The sequence below is a fragment of the Homo sapiens genome, chromosome 12 (genome assembly GCF_000001405.40).
Source record: "Homo sapiens chromosome 12, GRCh38.p14 Primary Assembly".
NCBI classification, from domain to species: Eukaryota; Metazoa; Chordata; class Mammalia; order Primates; family Hominidae; genus Homo; species Homo sapiens.
In genome coordinates, this window is record NC_000012.12 from 43,857,344 (window position 1) to 43,884,306 (window position 26,963).

Genomic DNA, 26,963 nt, shown 5'->3' on the forward strand with positions numbered 1-26,963 from the left:
ATGAGTCATTCAGGGACCAAGGGACTCTTTTCTTACCAGGTCCAATCATTGCCTCCACGTCCTTTTCTCATTTCCTACCCATGGGAGGTAATGCTAGAAGTTTTTCACAAAGGGGGCTATCACATGGAATTACAGAAGGCAGACTCATATACATGGTGCAGAGGGAAACCACTTCACTATTAGTGAGATGTAACCAGCCAGGGTGGAATTTGACAGCTGGTTAAATAACATATGGTAAAATTGAAAATGAAAAGTGCTTGATTACTTGATTCATTTAAAACCATATTGATAGAGGTCTTAGTTTGCTTATTCTTCAAATAAAGGGGTAATCAGTCCTGGCTGAGTAGAGTACTGTGATTTGAGATGATGCTGCCAGAATTTTCCCCTGATTTATTTCCTTTTATCTTTTATTAATTCCTACAACTAGAATCATTTCTTGAAGATATTTTCACTGGGTTTAAAATATTATGCTACTTGAGAGGTGTGATGAACTAACAAGGATGTTAACAATCCCATCATAGAGAGATCTGTGCCCAAAGGATAAATAAGTGGTGGTAGGTGGGAGGAAGTAGGCGAATGTGCTGATATGGTAACTATGTTGCCCTGCACGGTTCTGGATAGAAGCACGGGTCAAAGAAACGCTGTTAGAAGATTTAGGGATATGCAGAGGGTCAGACTGGAATAAGGGGCTTCTCCAAAGACAGGCTTTAGTTGTTTTACTGTGGTGGCCTTGACACTATATCTGATTTTGAGTATCACAGGTGGTCCAAGCAGTCCTATTGTTTTTAATTTGGATTCCTATCGTGGCTGTGACCCAGAGTTATTGTTGATGGGTAAATAGAAATGTACAGGGTTGATCTGCCTGCCTTCAAGGTCATAACAGTAGCCAGCAGTAAAATTGGAACATAAACCGAAGCCTCCTGATTCCCAGACAGGCGCCTTTTCAGGCATCCCAGATGGCGAACTGGCAGCCGGTGTGCCTTGTCTGCCTTAGGACCGGATTGTGCTAGGCCACTCCCTACAGTTTTGCTCTGCATTGCCTGTGTTCTGGCATCTTTTTCTGGCACCACCTCCTGCCTGACCAGCTCTCACTTTTGGTTAAAGAAAGTCATTTAGTCGCCCCCACAAGAAGTCCTATAGTTTCAGGGCAAAGTCTGTCATTGCTGTGGAGCCCAGAGAAACTCAGTACAATGCTTCCTGTCCTTGTGGCCATCAGTAACCTCATTTTCTTGGCTGGACTATACTTTTTCCCCTTAATTTCAGAGGAGTGAAATCTAGATATTCTTAGGCTACTCCATGCTTGTTATGATACTTTGTGTGTCGTTGAGGATGTAGCCATTGAAATGGACAGACTAGCTAAGAGTAACCAGCAAATACACACAAACCTGAGAGAGTGAGTTGGAACTTGCTCTTCAGTATCTCAGGGAAGAGTGTCTTTTATGTCCTTTCCACTTTATTCCTGTTTGAACTGTGCTGTTTTTCAACATCATCATTGACAAATGTGTTGAATACCTGTTATTTGCAAGGGAAAGCACCAGGTGCCATGAGCCTCTGCCTTTTAGGAGGGAAAATTATCAAATATGATAATTGCCAGCACTGCAGTGGGAGTGGAAGGGACAGTCTCTTTTGAAGGGGGCAAGAAGTCAAACCGAAGAGAAATCATCAAATAAAGCTTCCTAGAGAAATAGGAGTTTGTGGGAATCATAGAATCTCAGAGTGAATGGAATTGGTGAGAGCTTTCTTGTTACATTTTCAGCCAATCTCTGAGCACCTCCAACAAAGGCGATTATCCCCAAAGAAGTCTCTGTGTTCGATTACTGTTTCTGCATTTCCTGTGTGTGAACCTGAGCTTTGCCATTACAACTCCAGCGGAATTCTGTTGGAGGGAGGAGGGCCTTCCAAGCTGGAGAAGTGGCAAGCGCAAAGTTGTGGGGAAGGAACGGGCAAAATGGTTGCAGTGTAGAGTGTGAACAGGCCAGTGTTTCTGGATCAGTAGTTTTGGGTAGACTGGCAGCAGGAAAGAGAAACTTCAGTGCAAATTGTGAAGGGTCTGGAATTCCAGATTTGGGAGCTTAAAATTCATTCTGAAAATGATAGGAAGCCATGGAGCATATCTCTCCCTTCTTGATTTGTAAATGTAAAAAGTTATATAAACCTATTGTGGGAAAAAAAACAGAATATATGAAGTCAAAGAAGAAAAATTTTTTGATCAAAAAGATGACGAGATCAAAACAGTATCATAGGAAAATGCATGCAGGCTTAGTTGGCCTTGAGGCAGGGAGGTGTGCCACAGTTGCTGGGGTATAACTGACCTCAAGTGATCAAGGCTTGATTTAGAAGTGGTGGCAATGAGAATGAAATGGAGGGGAAGGAAGGAAGAGAATATGTGAGGAAGACTGATAGTGCAAATACAGTTTTCTTCTATTCTAAATAACATCATTTTAAGGACTCCTATTCCCTGAGTCCATTCCCATCATATACTGAACATAAGGCATAACAATCTATTTCTAAAATTGGCAACTTAAATTATCATTAGATCATCTTACTTTATTCTCCAAGTTTGCTGAAAGAAACAAATGTGTGGTTCTGGTGGTTATTTGTGACACTAGAAGAGACTTTAAGAAAAAACAGATTTATGCTCACTGATACTAAGCTATGAAGGTGTTAATGTCATTGAGTTTCTTCTTCTTATTATTATACTTTAAGTTCTGGGGTACATGTGCAGAATGTGCAGTTTTGTTACATAGGTATACACGTGCCATGGTGGTTTGCTGCACCCATCAACCCATCACCTACATTAGGTATTTCTCCTAATGCTATCCCTCCCCTAGTCCCCCCACCCCGTGACAGGGCCCAGTTTGTGAAGAATTTCTTTTTTGAAGCTTAGCATTTGTTGAATTTGTGGATCATGCTCATTAATTTGTCTCATTTGCAAAGTACAGGAGCCTTAATGATATAGGACTTGATTTTGTTCATTCAATAAACACTTAGAATTTTCTAGGCCCTGGGGATCCAGCATTGAACCCAACAAGGTCCCTGCTGTGACTGAGCTTACAGTCTAGTAGGAAAAGATGGATAATAAACAAATAAATCATTATATATTATATCAGAGGGTGATAAATGCTGTGGTGAATAATAAAGCAGGGAGAGTCTAGGGAGGGGTCCAGAGAGTTCCCGGAATTCCCTCCCTAATGAGATGATCTGAGGAAGATGAAGGAACAACCTATGTAGCTTTCTGGGGGAAGACATCCCAAGAAGAGGGCAGGGCAGCCCTGAAAGCCCCAGAGCAGTGGTGTGTTGAGAGTGTTTAGTGAACAAGGTGGCAAGGAGGTCAGTGGCTGGAGCAGAGGGAACAGAAAAGAGAGTAGGAGGAGAAGTGGAGGGAGGTGGGACAGCCGGTCATAGGTTTTATAACAAGGCTTTATAACAAGCCTTCTCTCCTTAAGTAAAAGGGAGACACCAATAAACATATAAATCCGTATAGCTTTATTTAGTTTCTAAATTAAATATGGTATATTTAAAGTTGGTGTTTTAGTGACGCCCTTGAGCTCATTGTCTTAGTTTATTCTGAGAGAATGCAGGATCCATGATTTTTATTCTGGCAGTTCCTTTACTCTTCTCAGCTCCCCATTATGGCTCCTTTATGGGGCTGTCCACCTCACCTCCCTCCCTCCAGTGGGACATAGAAGTGAAGGAAGATGCTTTTTAGGAAGGCTGATTTATTTAATAATTTTTAAGAGAGATTCTTCTCTGTGCCTGTTCCCCATCCCTGTCCGTAGTGGAGGCAATGCTAACTTTGTAATAGTATTTTCAGCAGTGGAGGTGGGGAGCGTGGTCCTGGAGGCAGCCATGTGGGGAAGTCACAGTTGATTGTCTTTAAAGTTCTCACTCTCAGATCCCCCCATAGAGTAAGAAAAGCATCTTTCTTTCTCTAGGGATGAATAGATTTTCTGTCCATGTCGGGGAGGGGGTTGTAGAGATGGAGGTTCACAGACCTCTCAGATTCTTTCCCTGTTATAACCCCAGCCATGAGTCTGCTAGATCAGGCGCATGAAAATGACTCTTATCTGTTTTTTTCTGGGTTGCTCCCCTGCTTCTATTTAGAGCTTAAACAGATTACTGAACTCTATGCTATCCACTGAATTTTGTAAACACAAGTGCTTAACAATCTATGTTTAAAAGAGGACAGAGAATTTGCTTAACAGCTGAATTCTAGATGACAGATCAAATTGAATATGAAAGAAGAATATTTTTACTCTTCTTCGGAACACTGTCACAGTGGGTGGAGGAAGATCTTTAGATACAATACTTTGAGCAAGTCTAGACATATTTTAGCTTTAGGTATGCAAGAAAGGGTAGTAAAAGAGACGTTATACATTCATTCGAGAGATATTTCTAGTGTGCCTTTTATGTGGGAGGATTGATTCTATGCACTAGGGATACAGTGGTGAATAATAATAATAACAAAACACTCAAGATTTTTGTTCTTATAAGTTATGTATTCTGATGGGGGAAAATATACAATTGTGGTCGGTCATTCCTGCAATTCATCAGATATTTTTGTCTCATCATGTCTGACACGTGGTGAGGTTGTACTTGTGATTAGTTATGGCTGGTTAGGTCAGAGCAGGGGTGATGTGTGGCATTTCTGAACTAGAGCATTTGATTGCACATGCCAGACCCTCCAGCTTCTTTTTCTCTTCCTTGGCTATCAGCAGTTTTCCAGACAGTTGCTTCGCTGTCTGCTTGAGTCTGCCAGAGTGAAGGCAATGTGGAGTAGGGCCCTTAACTGATCCTCAATGGACATATAGTATGAGAAGGAAATAAACTTTTGTCTTTTTTTGAGATGGAGTCTTGTTCCTTTGCCCAGGCTGGAGTGCAGTGGTGTGCTCTCGGCTCACTGCAAGCTCTGCCTCCAGGATTCACACCATTCTCCTGCCTCAGCCACGGGAGTAGATGGGACTACAGGCGCCCGCCACCATGCCCAGCTAATTTTTTGCATTTTTAGTAGAGACAGGGTTTCACCATGGATCTCGATCTTCTGACCTCATGATCCACCTGCCTTGGCCTCCCAAAGTGCTGGGATTACAGGCGTGAGCCGCTGCACCCAGAAAATAAATGTTTATTGTTTGAAGCCACTGAGATTTTAGAGTTGGCATAACTCCAAGCATGGCATAACCTAACGTCCTGAATGCCTGACTGGGAGAAATTAAAAAGTCCTGACTGATATAGAAATTTAAAAAGTAACATTTTAGAAAAAGAAGTACTTCTAGCTAGTGATATAGTCTATAAACAAAACAAAACAGGGAGCTGTGACAGAAAATGCCTGGGGTGGAGTGCAGAGGATACTCTAACTAGAGTGGTTAGGTTAGCTCCCTCAGAGGAGGTTATATTGAAACCTGAAAGATGAGAAGGAGCTAGCCAAGTGAAAATCTGGAAGAAGTGCATTCAAACTGAAGGAATAGCACATGCAGAATATGAGTGGTGAAAACATTTGGTACATTTATAAAACATCTGGGAGGCCAAGACAGGAGAATCGCTTGAACCTGGGAGGCAGAGGTTGCAGTGAGCTGAGATTACGCACTGCACTCCAGCCCGGGTGACACTGCGAGACTCTGTCTCAAACTGAAAAACAAACAAACAAAAAAACCAAGAAAAACAAAAACATTGGCCAGGCACAGTGGCTCACACCTGTAATTCTAGCATTTCAGGAGGCCTGTGGTGAAACCCTGTCTCTACTGAAATACAGAAAATCAGCTGGGCATGGTGGTGGGTGCCTGTAATCCCAGCTACTCCGGAGCCTGAGGCACAAGAATTGCTTGAACCCGGGAAGCAGAGGTTGCAGTGAGCCAGGATTGTGCCACTGCACTCCAGCCTGGGCAACAAAGCGAAACTCTGTCTCAAAAACAGCAACAACAACAAACAAACAAACAAACAAACAAAACTTCAAGGAAGTTAATGGAGCCTAAAGAGTAAGGAAGGAGGAGGTAGCTAGGAGTTTAGTGATGTTAGACTTGACAGATCATGGTATTTCATTTTAAGAATAAGCCATCATAGAGTTTTCAGCAGAACATGGATATGATCTGAATTAGATTTTTAGAGTGACTCTTTGAAAAGATCAGACTATTACGCATGGGGCATCTCTGACTCTAGAAGAAAGCCACAATTCTCTTGATTTGGGGACTCAGAGCATGGAGTTCAGGGCTGACAAAACAGTTGGAAAGTAATAGAGCAAATCTTAGAAAGGGCAGACCCACAGAGGGAAGCCCCAAATTTTATGTATAAACTCTCCTTTAATTCTTAACTGGCCCTGAACTGTTCACACTTGAGGGAGTTTTTAAGAAGCCCAGCAAAAGCAATGGCTGAGAGGTGGTGAGAGGTGACAGCGTGCTGGCAGCCCTCGCAGCCCTCACTCACTCTCGGTGCCTCCTTGGCCTCAGCGCCCATTCTGGCCACACTTGAGGAGCCCTTCAGCCTGCCACTGCACCATGGGAGCCCTTCTCTGGGCTGGCCGAGGCTGGAGCTGGCTCCCTTGGCTTGCAGGGAGGTGTGGAGGGAGAGGCACAGGTGGGAACCGGGGCTGCGCCCGGCGCTTGCGGGCCAGCTAGAGTTCCGGGTGGGCATGGGCTTGGCGGCCCCACACTCGGAGCTGCCGGCCAGCCAGCCCTGGACAGTGAGGGGCTTAGCACCCGGGCCAGCAGCTGTGGAGGGTGCGCTGGGTCCCCCAGCAGTGCTGGCCCACCAGCGCTGCGCTGGATTTCTCACGGGGCTTTAGCTGCCTCCCTGGGGGGCAGGGCTCAGGACCTGCAGCCTGCCATGCCTGAGTCTCCCTCACTCCCCCCGCAGTGGGTTCCTGCGCGGCCTGAGCCTCCCCGACCAGCACCTCCCCCTGCTTCATGGCACCCAGTCCCACCCACCGCCCAAGGGCTGAGGAGTGCAGGCACACTGCGCAGGGACTGGCAGGCAGCTCTATCTGCAGCCCCAGTGCGAGATCCACTGGGTGAAGCCAGCTGGGCTTCTGAGTCTAGTGGGGACTTGGAGAACCTTTATGTCTAGCTAAGGGATTGTAAATACACCAATCAGCACTCTGTATCTAGCTCAAGGTTTGTAAACACACCAATCAGCACCCTGTGTCTAGCTCGGGGTTTGTGAATGCATCAATCGGCACTCTGTATCTAGCTCAAGGTTTGTAAATACACCAATCAGCACTCTGTGTCTAGCTCAGGGTTCGTAAATACACCAGTTGACACTGTATCTAGCTAATCTAGTGGGGACGTGGAGAACTTTTGTGTCTAGCTCAGGGATTGTAAAAGCACCAATCAGCACCCTGTCAAAACAGACCAATCAGCTCTCTGTGAAATAGACCAATCGACTCTCTGTAAAATGGACCAATCAGCAGGATGTGGGTTGGGCCAGATAAGAGAATAAAAGCAGGCTGCTGGAGCCAGCAGGGGGTCCACACTGTGGGAACTTTGTTCTTTTGCTGTTTGCAATAAATCTTGCTGCTGCTCACTGTTTGGGTCCACACTGCCTTTATGAGCTGTAACACTCACCACAAAGGTCTGCAGCTTCACTCCTGAAGCCAACAAGACCGCAAACCCACCGGGAGGAACGAACAATTCCAGACCCGCCACCTTAAGAGAGCTGTAACACTCACCGTGAAGGTCTGCAGCTTCACTCCTGAGGCAGCGAGACTACGAACCCACCAGAAGGAAAAAGCTCCGAACACATCCGAACATCAGAAGGAAACAACTCCGGACCCGCTGCCTTTAAGAACTGTAACACTCACTGCGAGGGTCCGCGGCTTCATTCTTGAAGTCAGTGAGACCAAGAACCCACCAATTCCGACACAGTGGGAAGGGTTGAACAGAGATTTTAGTGCTGTCTACTGCAGTAAAGACAGAGTTTGGGGTTTGAGTCATACCAAGTTAGAAGGATTGGTAAAGTCCTTCTAACTTTACCTTCTAACTTGGGCATTGAAACCCCAGAAGGGTGCCCCTTAGAAATAAACAATACATCCTTGGGCTATAGGAGTTGCCGCAGGATTGTGGGCAAAAACTAATGTAGATTTGGCCAGGTATACTGGCTCAGACCTGTAATCCCAGCACTTTGGGAGGCCAAGGTGGGTGGATCACTTGAGGTCAGGAGTTTGAGACCAGCCTGGCCAGCATCATGAAACTCCATCTCTGCTAAAAATACAAAAATTAGCCGGGCGTGGTGGTGCATGTCTGTAATTCCAGCTACTAGAGGGGCTGAGGCAGGAGAGATGCTTGAACCTGGGAGGTGGAGGTTGTAGTGAGCTGATATCGCACCACTGCACTCCAGCCTGGGTGACAGAACGAGACTCCGTCCCAAAAAAAGAAAAAAAGAAAAAAAAAAAACTAATATAGACTCATACATACCAAGTATCAAATCAAGCCTTCACAAGTTCAAAGTGATTAGCCAGTAATTTTAAATTTAATTTAAAGTGATTAGCCAAATCAGGCCTTCACCAATTTGAAATGATTAGCCAATAATTAATAATAATTAGTAAAATTAATACTCTTAGAGGAAGATAATAAAACAATGTATCATCTATAAAGTCCAGTTTAAAATTAAAGTTTATTGTACATACAAAAAACCAGGACAGTGTGACCCATAGTCCAGAGAAAAAGTAGTTAATAGAAACAGCACTTAGATGATCCAGAAGCTGGCATTAGCAAAGACTTTATAACAGTGTTCATACTTTGTTCATGGGCAAGGAGATAGAAAACCACCAACAGTTTCATAGTCAAACTGCTGAAATAAAAGATAAAGAGAAAATTTTGAAAGCAGTCAGAACTAAGGTCACATTTCACATAGGGGAATGATGATATGAATGATGGTTAATTTCTTATCACGAACAAGGGAGGCCAGAAGATATCTTTAAAGTACTGTAAGAAATAAAAATTTCAACCTAAAATTCTATATCCAGCCAACATATACTTACAAAATGAAGGTAAAATAAAGACACTTTCAGGCAGGAGGATTGCTTGAGCCAAGGAGTTGGAGACCATCCTGGGACACATAGTGAGACCTCATCGCTACCAAAAAAAAAAAAAAAAAAGTTATGTGAAGCGGTGCACACCTATAGTTCCAGCTACTTGGGAGACTGAGGCAGGAAGATTACCAGAGCCTGGGAGGTCGAGGCTGCAGTGAGTTGTGATTGCATCACTGCACTCCAGCCTGGGTGACAGAGCAAGATCCTGTCTCTTAAAAAACAAAAATAAATAAAAGACACTTTTCAAACAAATCAACAAGACAGTTATCTATAGCAGACCTGCTCTACAAGAAATGCTAAGGAAAGTTCTTCAGGCTGCTGATGAGTGAAACCATATAGAAATATCAAATATACAGGAAAGAATGCAGAGCATTAGAAATCATAAATATAGGGCTCAATTAGAAAGACTGTTTTTTCCTTAATTTTTTTAAAAGACAAAAATGTTTAGGTTGGCGCGGTGGCTTACGCCTGTAATCCCAACACTTTGGGAGGCTGAGGCGGGTGGATCACCTGAGGTCGGGAGGTTGAGACCAGCCTGACCAACATGGAGAAACACCGTCTCTACTAAAAATACAAAATTAGCTGGGTGTGGTGGTGCATGCCTGTGATCCCAGATACTTGGGAGGTTGAAGCAGGAGAATCGCTTGAACCCAGGAGGCAGAGGTTGTGGTGAGCCAGATTGCGCCATTGCACTCCAGCCTGGGCAACAAGAGCAAAAACTCCATCTCAAGAGAAAAAAAAAAAAGAAAAGACAACAATGTTTAAAAGGAAAATTGTAATATTGTATGTCATGATTTTGTAACATGATACTATAAAATATATGACAATAATGACAGATTGGAGGCAAATGGAATTACACTTTAGCAAGATTCTTGTATTTTATATGAAGTGGCACAATGTTAACCCTAATTAAACTGTGATAAGTTAAAAAGGCATGTTTCAATCTTTAGAACAATCAGTGAAAAATATAAAGAGGATACGTAAGAAACCTAAATAGGATGTAAATTATTATACTAATAAAATAATATTATGCCAAAAGAAGGCAGGAAAAGAGGAGCAGAGGAAGAGTATACAGATGGGACAAGGATAAACAGCAAAGTGGTAGACCTAAATCCAACTGTATAATTTTTTACGCAGAAAAACTAAACATTCCAATTACAAGGCAGAGATTGTCAGACTGAATTTAAAAAGTTTGATCCAAGTATATAGTGTTTATAAATGATGTATTTTAAATATAACAACAGAGCAGTTGAAATCAACAGGATGGAAAATGAATATATCCTGTAAACAGTTAACAAAAGAAAACTAGTGTGAATATGTTAATATCAGACAAAAGTAACCAAAAAGATGTTTTAAAATAATGAAAGGGTCAATTCATCTGCACAATAAAACAATCATATACCTATCTAGAGAATCAAAATATCTGATACTAAAACTAACAGAGCAAAAGGCATAATCGTAGGTAGATAATTTATTGTCCTTCTCTTACTAATTGACAGAATTAGCTATACAGAAAAATCAGTAAGAATATAGACAATTCTAGCACAAACACCTTGAGATCTGATGTTCACAGAACATTACTCCAGAAAAAGAATACACATTTTTTCAAGTACAATGGAATATTAATCAAGATAGAGCATATATTGATCCATAATAAAAATTTTCAAAAGATAAAATAATACAAAGTATGTTCTCTGACCACAAAGGAATTAAATTAGAAATAAAAATCAAATATACACACACACACACAGACACACACTCTGTCTGCTGTCTCTCTCCTTCTCTCTCTCTCTTTCTGTCTCTCCCCCTCTCTCTGTCTCTCCCTCCACCCAACCCCCGCCCCCCGCCAATTCTCTTTCTCTCTCCAAATATTTAGAAATTAAAAAACACACTTCAGGCTATGCATGGTGGCTCATGCCTGTTATCCTAGCACTTTGGGAGGCCAAGGCGGTTGGATTGCCTGAGCTCAGGAGTTTGAGACCAGCCTGGGCAACGTGGTTAAAACCCTGTCTCTACTAAAATAATAATAATAATAAAAAAAAAGCCAGGCATGGTGGCCCGTGCCTGTAGTCCCAGCTACTCTGGAGGCTGAGGCAGGAGAATTGCTTGAACCTGGGAGGCGGAGGTTGCAGTGAGCTGAGATGGTGCCACTGCACTCCAGCCTGGCGACAGAGTGAGACACCGTCTCAAAATAAACAACCCCACCCCACCCTCCAAAAAAAAAAACACACACACTTCAAAATGCCTATGGATCAAAGAAGAATTTAGAAGATAAATTATAAAATATTTCTAACTGAATGATGAAGTTATATAAAAATGTATGAGATGTGACAAAACAGTGCTTAGGGTTAGTTTATATTTTAAATGCTTATATTAGAAAAGAAAAAAGTTGCAAATCATTGCTCTGTTTTTATTGTAAGGGGTTGGGAAAAGAACAAATTGAATCAAAAGTAAGTAGGAAGGAGGAAATAATAAAGCAAATAAGAGCAGAAATAAAAAAGGAAAAGGAAAAAGAAAAACAATAGAGAAAATTAATAAATCCACATGTTGATTATTTGAGAACATTAATAAGACTAGAAATTTCTAGAAATATTGGTTAAGAAGCAAAGAGAGAAAACACAAATTACCAATGTCAAGAATTAAAGATGGAATTTCATTACAGATCTAAAGAGATAAAAAGTACAGGGAATGCCAGTTTATGCCAATAAATTCTAAAAAATCCACTAACGAAATATAATAGAAAAAAATTCTTGATAGTCATAACTTAACAAAACTGACATAAGAAGAAATAATCCACATAGCTATATATTTATATAAGAAATTGAGTTCATTATCAAAAACCTCTTTAGAAAGAGATTTCTTGGCATAAATGGTTCCCTTTTTTTGTGCTCTTGGGGACTTGTAGCTGCCATCCTTCTCTTAAGCAAAAGGGAGAGTCAAGGCTTCACTTATTTATTTACTTTATTTAATTCTATTGTAGCATTTATGATGTGCCAGCTACTGTTCTGAGCACTTTATAAATAATAACTTACCTGTCAGAGATGTGATTCATAGTAAGGACACGAAGAGAAAATTTCAGGAATGTTTATTTTCTACAATATATGCAAGTAATGTATGCTTAACAGAATTGTTTTCTACCCACTGGTGACAGAAACTTGTGGGCAAATGGGAATATGCCTTTAAATGTGTACTCTGATGGCAGGAGCAATCAGTCAGTGGCTTACTCTCATTTTCTCCCTGTACTGTGTATGCCGAATAGAAAACAATTGTTAAAACCTGGAATATGAGGCTAAACTGTAATGCTTTCTTTTTCCTGTTCTTGCTGCATGATTTTCTGCCTTTCAGGCTCATGCTATTTCCTTGGATCTCTACATTTTTTTTAAAATTTGTTATTTCCAACTTTTTATTTTGAGTTCAGGTGTACATCTGCAGGATGTGCAGGTTGTTACATTGGTAAATGTGTGCCATGGTGGTTTGTTACACAGATTATCCCATCACCCAGGTATTAAGCCCAGCATCCATTAACTTTTATTCCTGATCCTCTCCCTTCTCCCACCACCCCCCATACTCTCCTACAGGCCCCAGTGTGTGTTGTTCCCCTCCATGTGTCCATGTGTTTTCATCATTTAGCTCCCAGTTATAAGTGAGAACATGTGGTATTTGGTTTTCTGTTCCTGCATTAGTTTGCTGAGGATAATGGCTCCAGCTCTATCCATGTCCCTACAAAGGACATGATCTCATTCCTTTTTATGCTGCATAGTATTACATGGTATGTATGTACCATAATTTCTTTATCCAGTCAGTCATGGGTGGACATTTAGGTTGATTCCATGCCTTTGCTTTTGTGAATAGTGCTGCAGTGAACATGTGAATAGTGCTGCAGTGTGCATGTGTCTTTTTTTTTTTTTTCTTTTTTGAGATGGAGTCTAGGCCTGTCGCCAGGCTGGAGTGCAGTGGTGTGATCTCGGCTAACTGCAACCTCCGCCTCCTGGGTTCAAGTGATTCTCCTGCTTCAGCCTCCCGAGTAGCTGGGATTATAGGCATGCACCGCCACACCCAGCTAATTTTGTATTTTTAGTAGAGACGGGATTTCACCATGTTGGCCAGGATGGTCTCAATCTCCTGACCTCAGGAGATCCACCCACCTCGGCCTCCCAAAGTGCTGGGTTTACAGGCGTGAGCCACTGTGCCCGGCCATGTGCATGTGTCTTTATAATAGAACAATTTATATTCTTTTGGGTATATACCCAGTTATATACCCAGTATATACCCAGTAATGGGATTGCTGGGTTGAGTGGTATTTCTGCCTCTAGGTCTTTGAGGAATTGCCACACTCTCTTCCACAATGGTTGAACTGACTTGTACTCCCACCAACAGTGTAAAAGTGTTCCTTTTTCTCCACAACCCCACCAGCATCTGTTTGCTTTTGTTTTCTTTTTGAGACGGAGTATCGCTGTTGTTGCCAGGGCTGGAGTGCAATGGTGCTATCCCCGCTCACTGCAACCTCTGCCTCCTGGGTTCAAGCGATTCTCCTGCCTCAGCCTCCCCAGTAGCTGAGATTACAGGCACCTGCCATCACGCCTGGCTAGTTTTTATATTTCTAGTAGAGACAGGGTTTCACCATGTTGGCCAGGCTGGTCTCGAACTCCTGACCTCAGGCGATCCACCCGCCTTGGCCTGTCATAGTGCTGGGATTACAGGCATGAGCCACTGCACCCAGCCTTCTTTTTGTTTTTTTTTTTTTGTTTGTTTGTTTTTGAGATGGAGTCTTGCTCTGTCGCCCAGGCTGGAGTGCAGTGGCACGATCTCAGCTCTCTGCAACCTCTGCCTCCTGGGTTCAAGTGATTCTCCTGCCTCAGCCTCCTGAGTAGCTGGGATTACAGGCGTGCACCACCACGCCCAGCTAATTTTTGTATTTTTTAGTAGAGATGGGGTTTTGCCATGTTGGTCAGGCTGGTCTTAAACTCCTGACCTCAGGTGATCCGCCTGCCTCTGCCTCCCAAAGTACTAGGATTGCAGGCATGAGCCACTGTGCCTGGGCTTTTTGACTTTTTAATACTAGCCATTCTGACTGGTATGAGATAGTATCTCATTGTGGTTTTGATTTGCATTTCTGTAATGATCAGTGATCTTGAGCTTTTTTCCTGTTTGCTGTCCATGTGTATGTCTTCTTTTGAGAAGTGTCTGTTCATGGTTTTATGTCTGGAAATCAACTCTGAATAAAATATCTATCTTTAGCTGTCTCCACAACAGTGACTAGTATTTAATTACAACTAGGTAAGCCATTACAGAGCAGTTTTGCAATATTTGAGAATTGGATTGACTTGTTATTGATCTGATTTGATAATTTTTGTTAAGAGATGTATGCTAATAAGAAGCTAATAATGTTTCATAAAAGAGTATTTGGAAGTATTTTTCAAACATTATTGAGGAACCTTTTTCCCTTTGTTCACAGCACAGTACTAGGCCCTATTTAGTCCAGCAATTTTTCTAAGTATTGTTCTGATAGCAAAAAAATATACATATCAGTTGATCAGTTTTCTGGGTGCTCTCTTACCTTAAATGGTAGATGCTCAAAGGTTATGGATGTGAGTAATCATAGCTCACTGCAGCTTTGACCCCCTGGGTTCAGGTGATCCTCCCGCCTCAGCCTCCTCAGTAGCTTGGACTACAGGAGTGAGCCACCATGCTCAGCTAATTCCTTTTTTACTTTTTAATTTGTAGAGATGGGGTCTTGCCTTGTTACTCAGGCCTGTCTTGAATTCCTGGCTTCAAGTAATATTCCTGCATTGGTCTATTCCTGCCTTTTTAGCGGAGTGAGATGTGACTAAGGCATTTCAAAGCACTCTATCTTCAGAACTACCTGCTACCTATCTCAATTGCAGGTTCATTATTTTCTATTTTTGGCTTATATCCTGTAGTAATCAAAGATTGGCTTGAAAACAATATTGGCACAGACCATCATTATGAGCACGAATACTATTCTAAAAATAAATGAAAAAGGCGTCTGTACCTCTAACTACAGAAAAGCTATGATGAAGGCATTTTGACTGTTCGGCCAGTGGAACTCAGTGACATAGCAGGTATTAAGAAATAACTTTTCTGTAAGATACTTTCTTTTGGGCATCTAATTTGCTCATTTTTAGTTGAGAATTTCAAATACTTATTTTTTCAGAGCTTTTGTATGTATTTTAATGTTACCAGAGAATTAGCTTATTCAAGAATGGAAGATCATAAATCATTACATGACATATTGTACAGGAAGACATTGAGCATAATTTGTTGATAATGCCCACTCACAAAGGTATTTTTGAATCTTTCCATCTTCCAGTTATGACAGTTAAGATAATAGTGTGCTTTCCCACTCTACCATCAAGTAGTGTGTCGTGCCTTGTGGTACAAAGAAATTGTCATGAAATAAAATTCAACCAGTCTTTGAATTCTTAATACCTTAATAGCAATATGAAATTTCTGTAAAATCCACAGATTATAGCTTTCTTTTTTCCCCTCTTGATTCTTATTTTGTGGCAAAGAGAGAAAGATAAAAAATGATGATGCAAATGAGATGTTTTATAGCACTGGAAAATATCTTGAAATAAAAGATAAGTCAGACTCTAAAATGTAGGGGCAATATGAGGATGTAGGAAGATCGGTAGAGAATTTCATCAAAGGTGCCATGAGAAATAAAATCTTAGGAAGAGGATGCTCAATAGTGATGGATGCTTGAGGAGAGACAGAGGATTTTGCAAACTGATTAAAGGTGATAGAAATAATAGTTTCTAATTAAAACTGCTTCTAATTAAAACTCCTTTTAATGGAAGGATAATACTTAGTGAATTTGAGTTCTCAAAGTACTGACTTACAGTTTAAATATGAAAGTCTCATTTTTCTTCTAATAGGGTTAGTAGAGTATAATTAGGCAAACTTAAGTGTTGTGCAGCACAGAGATTATTTTAAAAGTTAAGTATTTGAGAATCCACTTTAATCAAAACCTTTTAGTATGTGAGAATATAATTACATTTTACAAATATATTTGAAATTCTCTTTACTATATGATGGAAAGGTATCAAATTCATCCAACATTCAGAGGTTTAGTACCCTAATGACGTTCTTATTTAACAATTAATTTTAATACCAAAATGCAATAAAACACATTTAGCTATCTTCTTGCTTGTCCTGGATATTAATAAAAATCTGAGGCTTATGCTGAGGCAGGAAAACATTCGTTAATTTTATGTCATTAAAAAAAGAAAACTGTACTCACTTTTGTTCTAATCTTAAATTTTGTCTTTCTTTCTGTACAGTTTCTACCTATTTTTACTGTATCTTTCCAGTTAGTTTTAATTTTTTCGTTTTATTTTATTTTATTTTTTCCTTTTATATTTCTCAAAATTTCATTCTGAGAGCCTTTTACCAAGAAGGTTCTCAGAAGAATACTTTGATAAGTTCTCTTAAAGCTTTGCTATTTTATTTTTGTCTTTTGCATTCCTTTTTCTCTACCTTAAAGCTATCTGCATATACTTGTTTTCTCTTTCATTTCTTTTATTCTTCCAACTGCCTTTTGATCATTTATTATTAAAGCCAGTGAGTTATAATTATTTTTTGTTGTAGCTTGCTTTTAATCTGAGCTGAAAAATCCATGTTTTTTTTCATTTGTTATATTCTAGTCTTACATTTTAACTCCCTTCTTTTCATTTATTTATTCTGTTCTATTTTCCTATCTTAGTTTTTCCCACATTGGTAATTATTGCTTTTTTTCTCTTTGGACTAGATAAATTTCTTACTTCAGTAACATTGTAGGAAGGAATGAAAATAGTGAAGACAACAAGACATTTAACTTTTGCATTACAATAAATAGGAAGGAATTATGGAACTTTAATTTGTCTCCTCATTTCATGGGTAAGAGGTCAGAAAGTTATATTAAAAAACATATTAAGGCTGGGCATGGTGTCTCATGCCTGTTAGCCCAGCACTTTGGGAGGCCAAGGTGGGTGGATCACTTGAGGTCAGGAGTTTGAGACCAGCCTGGTCAACATGGTGAAACCCCGTCCCTACTAAAAGTACAAAAAAAAAAAAAATTTAGCCAGGCCTGGTGGCAGGCACCTGTAATCCCAGTTACTCAGGAGGCTGAGGCAGGAGAATCGCTTGAACCCAGGAGGCAGAGGTTGCAATGAGCCGAGATTGCGCCACTGCACTCCAGCCTGGGCGACAAGAACAAGACTCCGTCTCAAAAAAGCAAGCAAACAAAAAGCCATATTAAATCCTGGGAGATAGCCTCATATAGTCTATTTTCCCCAACCATTTTGTTAGTCTACACAGGTTCTAGGATAGTTGATCCTGCACTTTTAGCATTCTTTTTAATTTGACATGTTTTTCAGTTTAAGTCCTTTGTCAGTATAGCACAGAATGAGTACTCCGTTTGTATCAGTTGAATTAATTTGAGCTAGTATCTAATGTACTGAGTTCATTACCATTTAAATATGCACTGAAATCCTTCATTTCTGGAAGAGTAATGGGGATATCAAATTAGATCCGCAGGGATGAAGTGAGGCCAGGGTCACTGAAATCCCTCTGGGGATGCAGGTGGGAATTACATTTTCTCACTAATAAATAACATTTGACATTTGATAAGTATTCTTAAGTTCAGGGGAGCTGAACTTGTTCATACAAACTGTGTTAATTATCTTCCGTAAAAAACAGGTTAGCCTCTATAATTTTGAGCTGCAAGTAATAGATACAAGTCGCCCAAAATTATTTTGTAAATGATGTATTTGTAAGAAGTTAAATACAAACAGCTTCTTTACAGCAGTAAGATTTGCTTAAACTCAGGACAGGGGGTTGAAAAGAATGGTGGGGAAGTGTGTGTGTGTGTGTGTGTGTGTGTGTGTGAGAAAAGAGTCAGAATCGGGTAGGGCAACAGGATAAGTAGAAAGGGTTGTGCTAAAGGTGTGCCGGGAGCCATCTGACTTGTACTGGAGATCCAGTAGCTGAATGTCACTATCAACAGTAGTGAGGGCTCAGAACGCTGAAGCAGGTTTACATGATATATTTTTATTTTATTTTTTTGAGATACCTGGAAATCCACATCTGAGCTTTTGGGATATGCTGTTGCTTTTTGCTTTCAGTAGCTTAAGCAATTCAACTTGGCTTATATGTTTCTCATTTGTAATCTAAAAGTCATGCAGGACTGTGTCCAATAAAGTTTCTCTCATAAATTCATTTCTCTATCTCTTGATTATTTTCTTTGCCTTTTCCTCTGACTGTGACTTTGGTTGGATTGATTATCTAGCTGCCTAAAATTCAAAGAATTAAATTTGGGACAGGGCCTAGAACAAAAACCTGTTGGGCTACTTTATTTACTATTGAAAGGAAGAATGACAAATTATCACTCCATTATTGGGCCGGGCTAACAGTGAATAAGGGAAAGAAATCAGAGGCTACTTTACCTTGCACTCATGTCCTACTCACTCTTCTCTCTTCCCCATTATATATTACGTTTTTTTTTCCCCTGGGATGATATGAGTCCACAAGCTTCATCTGGAAAACCCGCATTTAGTCCCACTTGGTCCACTTATTCATATGGAATAATTCTGATGGCTTAAACTTTTAGTCTTCAAAATTGAAAACCTTGTTGGGATAGTTTTGATTGGCTTAGTTCTTTTGAGTAAAATACTTAGTATCTCAGAATTCTTCTTCCTCTCCTCCAAGATGTCATCTGAAGGTACAAGAGAAAAGTGTGCCCTTCATGATCTGCATGGTATCCAGTGGCTCATCCTGTTCTCATGACTTTGTCCTTTCCTTTCCGGTTATTGTTCACCTTGCATTTATGATGAAGAACAACAGCTAGTGTAACTCATGATTTGATTTATCTAGGATTGTTCAGGTGTGGTGGCATTCTCTGGCTGATTTTGCTCTCTGAGTCTCTGTTGTTTCCTAGAGTTGAGACACACCTTCTTGCCATGCGGGGCCCAACCAGACTGTGGGCTTTCAACTTGGTTTCCTCTGATATTGTCTTGTCATTTCTAGGGTCATTCAAGAGCTTAGGTTGATCTTCAAGATGTCGTTTTCTAGGAAACTCAGCTCATATCTAGCTGCCAGATGGAGGATAAGAGGATGGAGAAGACATTCTTATTTGCTCAGTAATCTTGGACAATTTATAGAAATTTTGCAGTGCACTGAATATGGTAATATCTCACAGCCTTGTTAGAATGATTATACAATTTCAAATATTTTTTGAGCCTTTAACCTGTCCTGTCTACCTTCTGAAGCTCCCCTCCCCTCACCTTTTCTGAGCTTCCACTTTCTTCCTGCCTCATAGACACACAGGATAATTTTCATTAAGGTATTGCGTTTTCCAATGCTGTGCTTAGCATAGTTTCTGATATATAGATACTCAGTAAATATTTGTTGAATAAATGTTGGATAAACAAGACCTATGAAGTAAATAATTATACTTAGTTTAAAATACTATATAGAAATAAGTATTACTAGTATTTTGTCATATCCTTTCCCTCAATACCCCTCTCTTTTAAATTATTTTATGACAGTGACATGTAATTAATTTTTCTTATTTTTAAACATCTTACTGTGTCAATAAGCATATATTTTCATAATGTGTAATGTATAGTATAAACCCAATTTTAATGTCTGCTTATTGTTCCATTGAGTGTGTCTAACATAATTTATTTCATAGTTTTCTTGAATTTGGGGTGTTTTCTATTTTCCTCTTTTATAAACAGAGCTTCAAAGAATGTCCATGTACATACATACATTAAAAATTATGCTCATTTGCACAATATATTTAAGAAAAATGCCTAGAATTAGAATTTTTGAGTCAAAGAATGTGCACATTTTTCACTTGGTATATATTTCCAGGTTGTCCTATGAACTTTGATCTTCAATTTGGAGAAATATAAATTTTTGAAAAGAAGCTATAATCTTTGACCCACTAATTGAGAGAATCTATCTCATAGAAATATAAGTAGTTTTGACTGGGTGCGGTGGCTCACGTCTGTAATCCCAGCACTTTGGGACACCGAGGCAGGTGGAACACCTGAGGTCAGGAGTTCGAGACCAGCCTGGCCAACATTGTGAAATCCTGTCTCTACTAAAAATACAAAAAATTAGCTGGACATAGTGGTGGGCACCTGTCATCCTAGCTACTTGGGAGGCTGAGGCAGGAGAATCACTTGAACCCGGGAGGTGGAGGTTGCAGTGAGCAGAGATCGTGTCACTGCACTCCAGCCCGGGCGACATAGTGCGACTCGGTCTCAAAAAAAAAAAAAAAAGTGTTTTTGTATAAACATATATGTAATATTTTGAGGGCTTGTAGCAGCTAATAGCTGAAATCAGTGTGAATGACCACATATAAGAAAAAGTTTGAATAAAATGTGGATCATTCATGTTACATAATATTATGTAGCCCTTGGTTTAGATCTGTTAACTCATGGTAATGCCCATGATACTAAGTGAGAAATACCAGTTGCAAAGTAATATGGATAGTATGGTTCTTTTTTTGTAAAAACAAAACACACACACACACACACACACACACACACACACACACAGACAGAATAATACTTTATATATGTTTATGATTTGTTTGAATGTACAGGAAGCTGTGAAAGGATACACTCAAGTTCTTAAAACTGTATCTTAGTGTGTGCATGTATATCTTAGGATTGTTTCACGTTTTACAATGAAAAAAAGTTTTGCTTTTGTAAGAAAAAGTAAATAAGGAAGACAAAGAAAAAATCAGGGCCTTAACAAACCACTCTGACTTTTCTGCAGCCTTAACAAACCACTCTGACTTTTCTGCAAACTGTGCTTTCAAACTAGACAGCTTCCTGTAGTTCTCGGAGGAATTTCAGGGCTTTAAAGAGTGTGTCCTGAAGTCAGGATCACTTTTATAGTTAGCTTAATTGGTATATTATTTTACACAAGATAACAGCTAAACTGTTGCGATTTCTCAAGTCATTGATGTTCTCAGAGGTAATCATCCTCAGAAAGGCTGCTGAAAATATGGTCAGCTTACATCCTGGTCTGGTTCATGTCAAACAACCAATTTTTTTAGAAGAGGAAATAGAGGATGAAATAGCAAAAATGTTTCAATTTAAGAAATTGTTTTCAGAAATAATCTATACTTTTCTATTGATAAGAGGAAGGAACAATTTTTGTTACAGCTAAAAATATAGAATAAAATAAGGTGACAACAATAGGTTGTAGCTAAATGCATGCTTTTATTAACTCACTAGATGTATGCTGTGATTTTGATTAAAATTTTGTCTTTCTGAAGGAGAGAAGTAAATATTAAAAAGGAAAAACCTTGGTATGTCTTAGAAAATTTTAAGCCTAGTAGCACTATGTAAAATCATTTTAAAATGAGAAAGTTTAGAAACTTGGAGAACAAAAGTGAAATAAAAACTTTATTTGGAAAAGTAAAATTGGTTATTGCTCATGGAAAAAATCTTGATCATTCAATGTCTGTGAACAGAGATGTTGACACAGTGAATTAAATATGGCAGGTGACCATTCATAAATGTGTACCAATGATATATTGAAAATATCTAGTGAAAGAAGTTCCTGGAATACTGTATTTATACTTGATTAGCCAGTAATACTTGCGTTAAATGATAAATGCTAGTCATAAATGCTGATGAATGAATAAGTTTGTCAAGCATGATCAGATCAGGGATCTGAAAACCCTGTATGTTAATATTATTTTTAATATAGGTAGATAATGGATACACATATGAACAGTTTTATCAAAGGATATACTGAAATTGTTCTATTCCTGTGCGAGCCTCAGAATTCAAAATCAAACTATAATTTTGACATAGATCATAAATAAGTGATAATAAGTTAATGAATAAGGCAGATTTTATTTTATGTTTGCTAAAACTTTATCATCAAAACAGTTTAAAGCATTGTATTCAATGTCAATGAAATTAAATACTAAAATAGAAACAAAAGTTTCCATGGGGGTCATTGGTGACTACTGTATATTTCAGTGTATAATTGCATATGCAACTCCATTGCTCCCTGTTGGTGAGGTCAGTGTGAGTGCCATATCACTCTGAAGCAAACTTATATGTCTTCTCAGTGCAGGCCTCAAAGTAGTATGCAAATATATTTTGCTATTGGATGAGATTAAGTGTATCAATGCGTATAGCTAACCAGTAGAGGTACAAGTTGTGCCTCCTCCTAATTCTGGGTCTAATGAGGGCTATGTCATCTCCATAGTTTGATTCTAAACCATCCTACTGTGCCTGCTTGCTGTATTTTTGGAGAGCCCCAACTCCTTTCTACGTATTTCATCAATGTACATTGTATCAGCATGCATAGTTTGAAACACTAATTTATTCAAGTTTATCTAATTCAACTAACTGTTAATTTGTTTCTGCTGCCTTTGGAGTAATCTATCTCCAGGCCTTCCTGTGTTATCTTGAATAATTGAGAGTGTACTCGTAGAAAGAGCCACATTGCTGCAGAAGGTGCTGCTAAGCCTCCAAGAGGTTCCCTTCACTTGAGCAAGATTGAAAGTGATTCCAGCTGGCTAGAAAAAAATTACATGAAGGCTGTAATAGACCTTTAGGAAGGAAATCTGTTTCTACCAAGACAGAAGAATAATTCATTTGTAAGGAATATAAATTAAAGCTTTCTTCAAGTCATTGGAGTGTCTCTAATATTTTTCAGGTAGCATTTTTCATACTTCCCTATTTCATCAACTTTTAGTACAAAATTTTCCAAGCTTTAGTTTTCTCATTTATAAAATAAAGTAATAATGCCTGTCCTCAATTCTACGAATTTATGAAGATCAAATAGGAGGATGTAAAGGCTCCTATAAATTATAAATTTACCCACTATCGTAAGGCATTGTTTTCTTTATCAGGGTGGCTTTTGCTTTTTTATTACTTTTCATAACTACTTGCACTATATACTGTTATTTGAATACAATAACATAAAACCAACCATGTTACATGGTTACATAACTTTTTTAAAAAAATTTCTTTCTAACTTCAATTTTTATTCCTTTTTTTTTTCCTGTGCAGAAAGAAAAATCAGCCTGTCAGCTACTCATGTCTAATTTCAAAATTATCTTGCAGAATTAAGCAGTTAAGACTTTGTAGAAATTTGGGGAGTATAAGGAATTGCAGATGAATGCCAGCTCCTCCTGGGCATACTGTTGTTCTTAATGTAAAAGTCCGGTTTTGCCCAGCATCAATTAATGGTGCCTTGGAACTGGGTGCAGGGGTCCCTAAAGATCTCCTGCAGGCTGAGACAGTCTCCCTTGAGCCATTTTCCACAGAGCCAGAGTGGTGTGACCTCTTGCTGCTGCAGTATTTCAAAGTGATTGTATTTCACTGCTCTCATAAACACATCTTGTAAAAGAAACAAGGTTGTCTTTTAAACTGTGCTCTTGCTTGACAGGAAAAATAAAACCCAGTCTACTTTCAGGACCTTATGGCCTAATAAGAAGTCAACCCTTTTCATTTTTGTTAAGAATAGTTTTGTATCAACTTGCCATTCTTCATGTAAAAGTATAATTTATTATGAAAGAAGAGAATCTGGATGATAAATAGGACTTTTATGTTCTTGTTACCTGTGATTCAGAAAATTCTAACTCACAGAGCTGGTTGAATAGAGAATTCTAAAACCGACAACAAGGAGATGCTTGTTAAATCTACTTTTTAATGCTTGTTTATTTTATTATACACATGACATGTACTATTCACTGTTCATCTTATGTATATGGGAACTTGCAATTTTTGGTCTATTATACATGCCTATATATTTTATGTTTGGTGCTATCAGGAACATAGATATTATTAAACAAGGCTAGGATTTATTTTACTTTACTTTATATTTGTAGGTTATTATGCAGTCCAAAGATTACAGAGATGAAGGGAAATTAGACCAATTATTTTCATATGATATTTAGAGAAAAGCATTTGTGCATTCCTTTGTGTCAGTAAGCATAAGAACTCTCTGTCACCCAGGCTGGAGTGCAGTGAATACAAAGAAAATGTAAGATATTTTACTAATACTTTTTATATTGATTATGTGTTGACATGATAATATTTTAGATATATTTGATTAGGTAAAATAGGAAATTAAAATCAATTTCACTCTTGAAAGACTTTAAGTCCGGGCGTGGAAGCTCATGCCTGTAATCCCAACACTTTGGGAGGCCAAGGCCAGCGGATCACCTAAGGTTGGGAGTTTGAGACCAGCCTGACCAAAATGGAGAAACCCCATCTCTACTAAATCTACAAAATTATCCAGGTGTGGTGGTGCATGCCTGTAATCCCAGCTACTCAGGAGGCTGAGGCAGGAGAATCGCTTGAACCCAGGAGGTGGAGGTTGCGGTGAGCTGAGATGGCCCCATTGCACTCCAGTCTGGGCAACAAGAGTGAAACTCTTGTCTCAAAAAAAAAAAAAAAAAAAAAAGGCCAGGCACAGTGGCTCATGCCTGTAATCCCAGCACTTTGGGAGGGCGAGGTGGGCAGACCATCCTGGCTAACACAGTGAAACCCCATCTCTACTAAAAATACAAAAAATTAGCTGGGCGTGGTGGCAAGCGCCTGTAGTCCCAGCTACTCAGGAGGCTGAGGCAGGAGAATGGCGTGAACCCAGGAGGCGGAGCTTGCAGTGAGCCCAGATCGAGCCACTGCACTCCAGCCTGGGAGACAGAGCAAGACTCCGTCTCAAAAAAAACAAACAAACTAAAAAACAACAACAACAACAAAGACTTTAAAAATGTACTTACTAAAAAATTTAAAATTATGTGTGAAGCTTGCATTATATTCCTCTTGCACAGTACTTCTCTAAGCAGTCTTGGCATAGAAATATTATGGAAGGCCAAGGCGGGCGGATCACCTGAGGTCAGGAGTTCAAGATCATCCTGGCCGACATGGTGAAACCACGTCTCTACTAAAAATACAAACATTAGCCAGGCTTGGTGGCAGGCACCTGTAATCCCAGCTACTCAGGAGGCTGAGGCAGGAAAATCGCTTGAACCCGGGAGGTGGAAGTTGCAGTGAGCCAAGATCACACCATTGCACTCCAGCTTTGGGGACAAGAGTGAAACTTCATCTCAAAAAAAAAAAAAAAAAGAAATATTATGTTTATATCCTTTATCCTTCTTTACCAAATTACCTCACTTTACCCCATATTTTGAGGACAGTTTAAAGAGGTCTGCACGTTCTGCAAGCACTACTTTCTGTTGTCTCACATCAAAAATTTCATTAGAAGTACCTGAAGAGTTTGCTCTTCTCTAAGAGGTTTCATCTATAAAAAGTTGATTTTAAATTCACTTTAGGTCAATGAGCATAAATGTTGTGGAGTTTAGCTGTGCATGTATGGAAAGGAGGCTTTCTTCCTTGGGCAAGGGCACCTTCTGGTGGTATATACTGAACATAGCAGCTTATTCGATGATCAGATGTAGACTTTAAGATTCTGGAATTGGCAAAAAAATTCATTTCAGGTGTTTGGAGGAAAAAAACTAAGATTAACGATAAAGATGTTCATTTCTCTGCAGCATCTTTTATAATTGAAGCTCATCTCAGTTCTGGGACTTATTTTTCTTAGTTACACAAGGCTAAGGTTGAGACAATATAATAAGAGCATTCTGATTTGGAGTGCTTTTTAAAATTGCAAAGTTCTTATTTGAGTTTTTGGGTTATTTTTCCCAAAAGTTTCCAATGGTGGTTTTTGTATCCATTATAAAAAGGAGAAGAGTTCTATATTTTTGTTCTTTATAATGTAAAACTTGAGGATGTTTAGGTTATTTAGTATATACAAGTAAGCTTCATTAGATAAATGAGGAAGAAGAGGTATAATAAATAAGCCCTATTACATTTTCTCAAGAAGTGATTTTAGTTATTTTGGAGACATGCATTTAAAAAGAGAAACATTGTTGAAAGGCTCAGGATCATGTATTTCTTGTCTTTTTCTGTTTCTTCTTGATGTATTATAGTACATATGATTATTCAAGTCATATCTCTTCATCACCGCATTTCATATACAAAGCCTGCCAAAAATAACTATGAAATAGCTGAGATCTTAAATACTGAGAACAAAATAGATTTCTCATAATTTGGAATTACATTAACCAGAAACAGTAAGACAGTTAAAATATGAGCCAACATCCAGCTATCAGCTAAATAAAGATTTCCAAAACCACTTATTGCCTTTCAGGCTGATGTAAGAATAGTTATGAGTGGTTATAAGGGAATGAATCAGTTGGATTTCCTTTTAATGTAGAGACCCTGGCAGCCCATTTCTAAAATTGTGCTTTAGTTATGCATATTACCTTCTTTGGAACCTAGTAAAAATGTGAAAAACGTTCAGATGATGAAAACATAACACAAATACCATTCTTTCTTTGTATGAAAGACAAAAAAAAAAACAAAAAACAAAAAAAAACCCCAAACAAGGATCTAGCCAAGCAACTCTATTCTAAGGGAGGAAATATAGTAAGAGTGGCCTGTAGCCAGGCATAGTGGCTCATGCCTATAATCTCAACACTTTGGGAGGCTGAGGTCAGAGGATTGCTTGAGCCCAAGAGTATGAGACCAGCCTTGGCAACATGGCAAAACCCTGACTCTACAAGAAATACAAAAATTAGCTGGGCGTGATGGCTCACGCCTGTAGTCCAGCTACTCAGGAAGCTGAGGTGAGAGGCTCTCTTGGGCACAGAAGGTCAAGGCTGCAGTGAGCCATGATCACACCACTGCACTCCAGCCTGGGCAACAGAGTGATACCATCTCAAAAAAAAAAAAAAAAGAAAGAAAGAAAGATTGTATTACTCTATTAGTGAAAGGAGCCAAAATTTACCCATATTGACAGCAGAGAGCTGAAATGACTATTTTACTTGTATGAAAATATTGTCTTTGCTTATTAATTAAAATGCTTTCATGAGTTGATATGTGGTAATATACTT

At 39.2% G+C, this 26,963-nt stretch overlaps 1 protein-coding gene across 8 annotated transcripts in view, besides 1 other annotated feature; it reads left to right on the forward strand.

The window, feature by feature from the left end:
* Positions 1–26,963, forward strand: part of TMEM117 (transmembrane protein 117) — a 603,307-nt gene that overhangs the window by 61,542 nt on the left and 514,802 nt on the right. The window lies entirely within an intron of this gene.
* Positions 4,590–4,790: a silencer, noted in NCBI's record as "peak1704 fragment used in MPRA reporter construct". NCBI's record gives its function as "represses an SCP1 promoter by STARR-seq MPRAs in K562 erythroleukemia cells {active_cell/tissue: K562}" and the evidence as "EXISTENCE:reporter gene assay evidence [ECO:0000049][PMID:32103011]".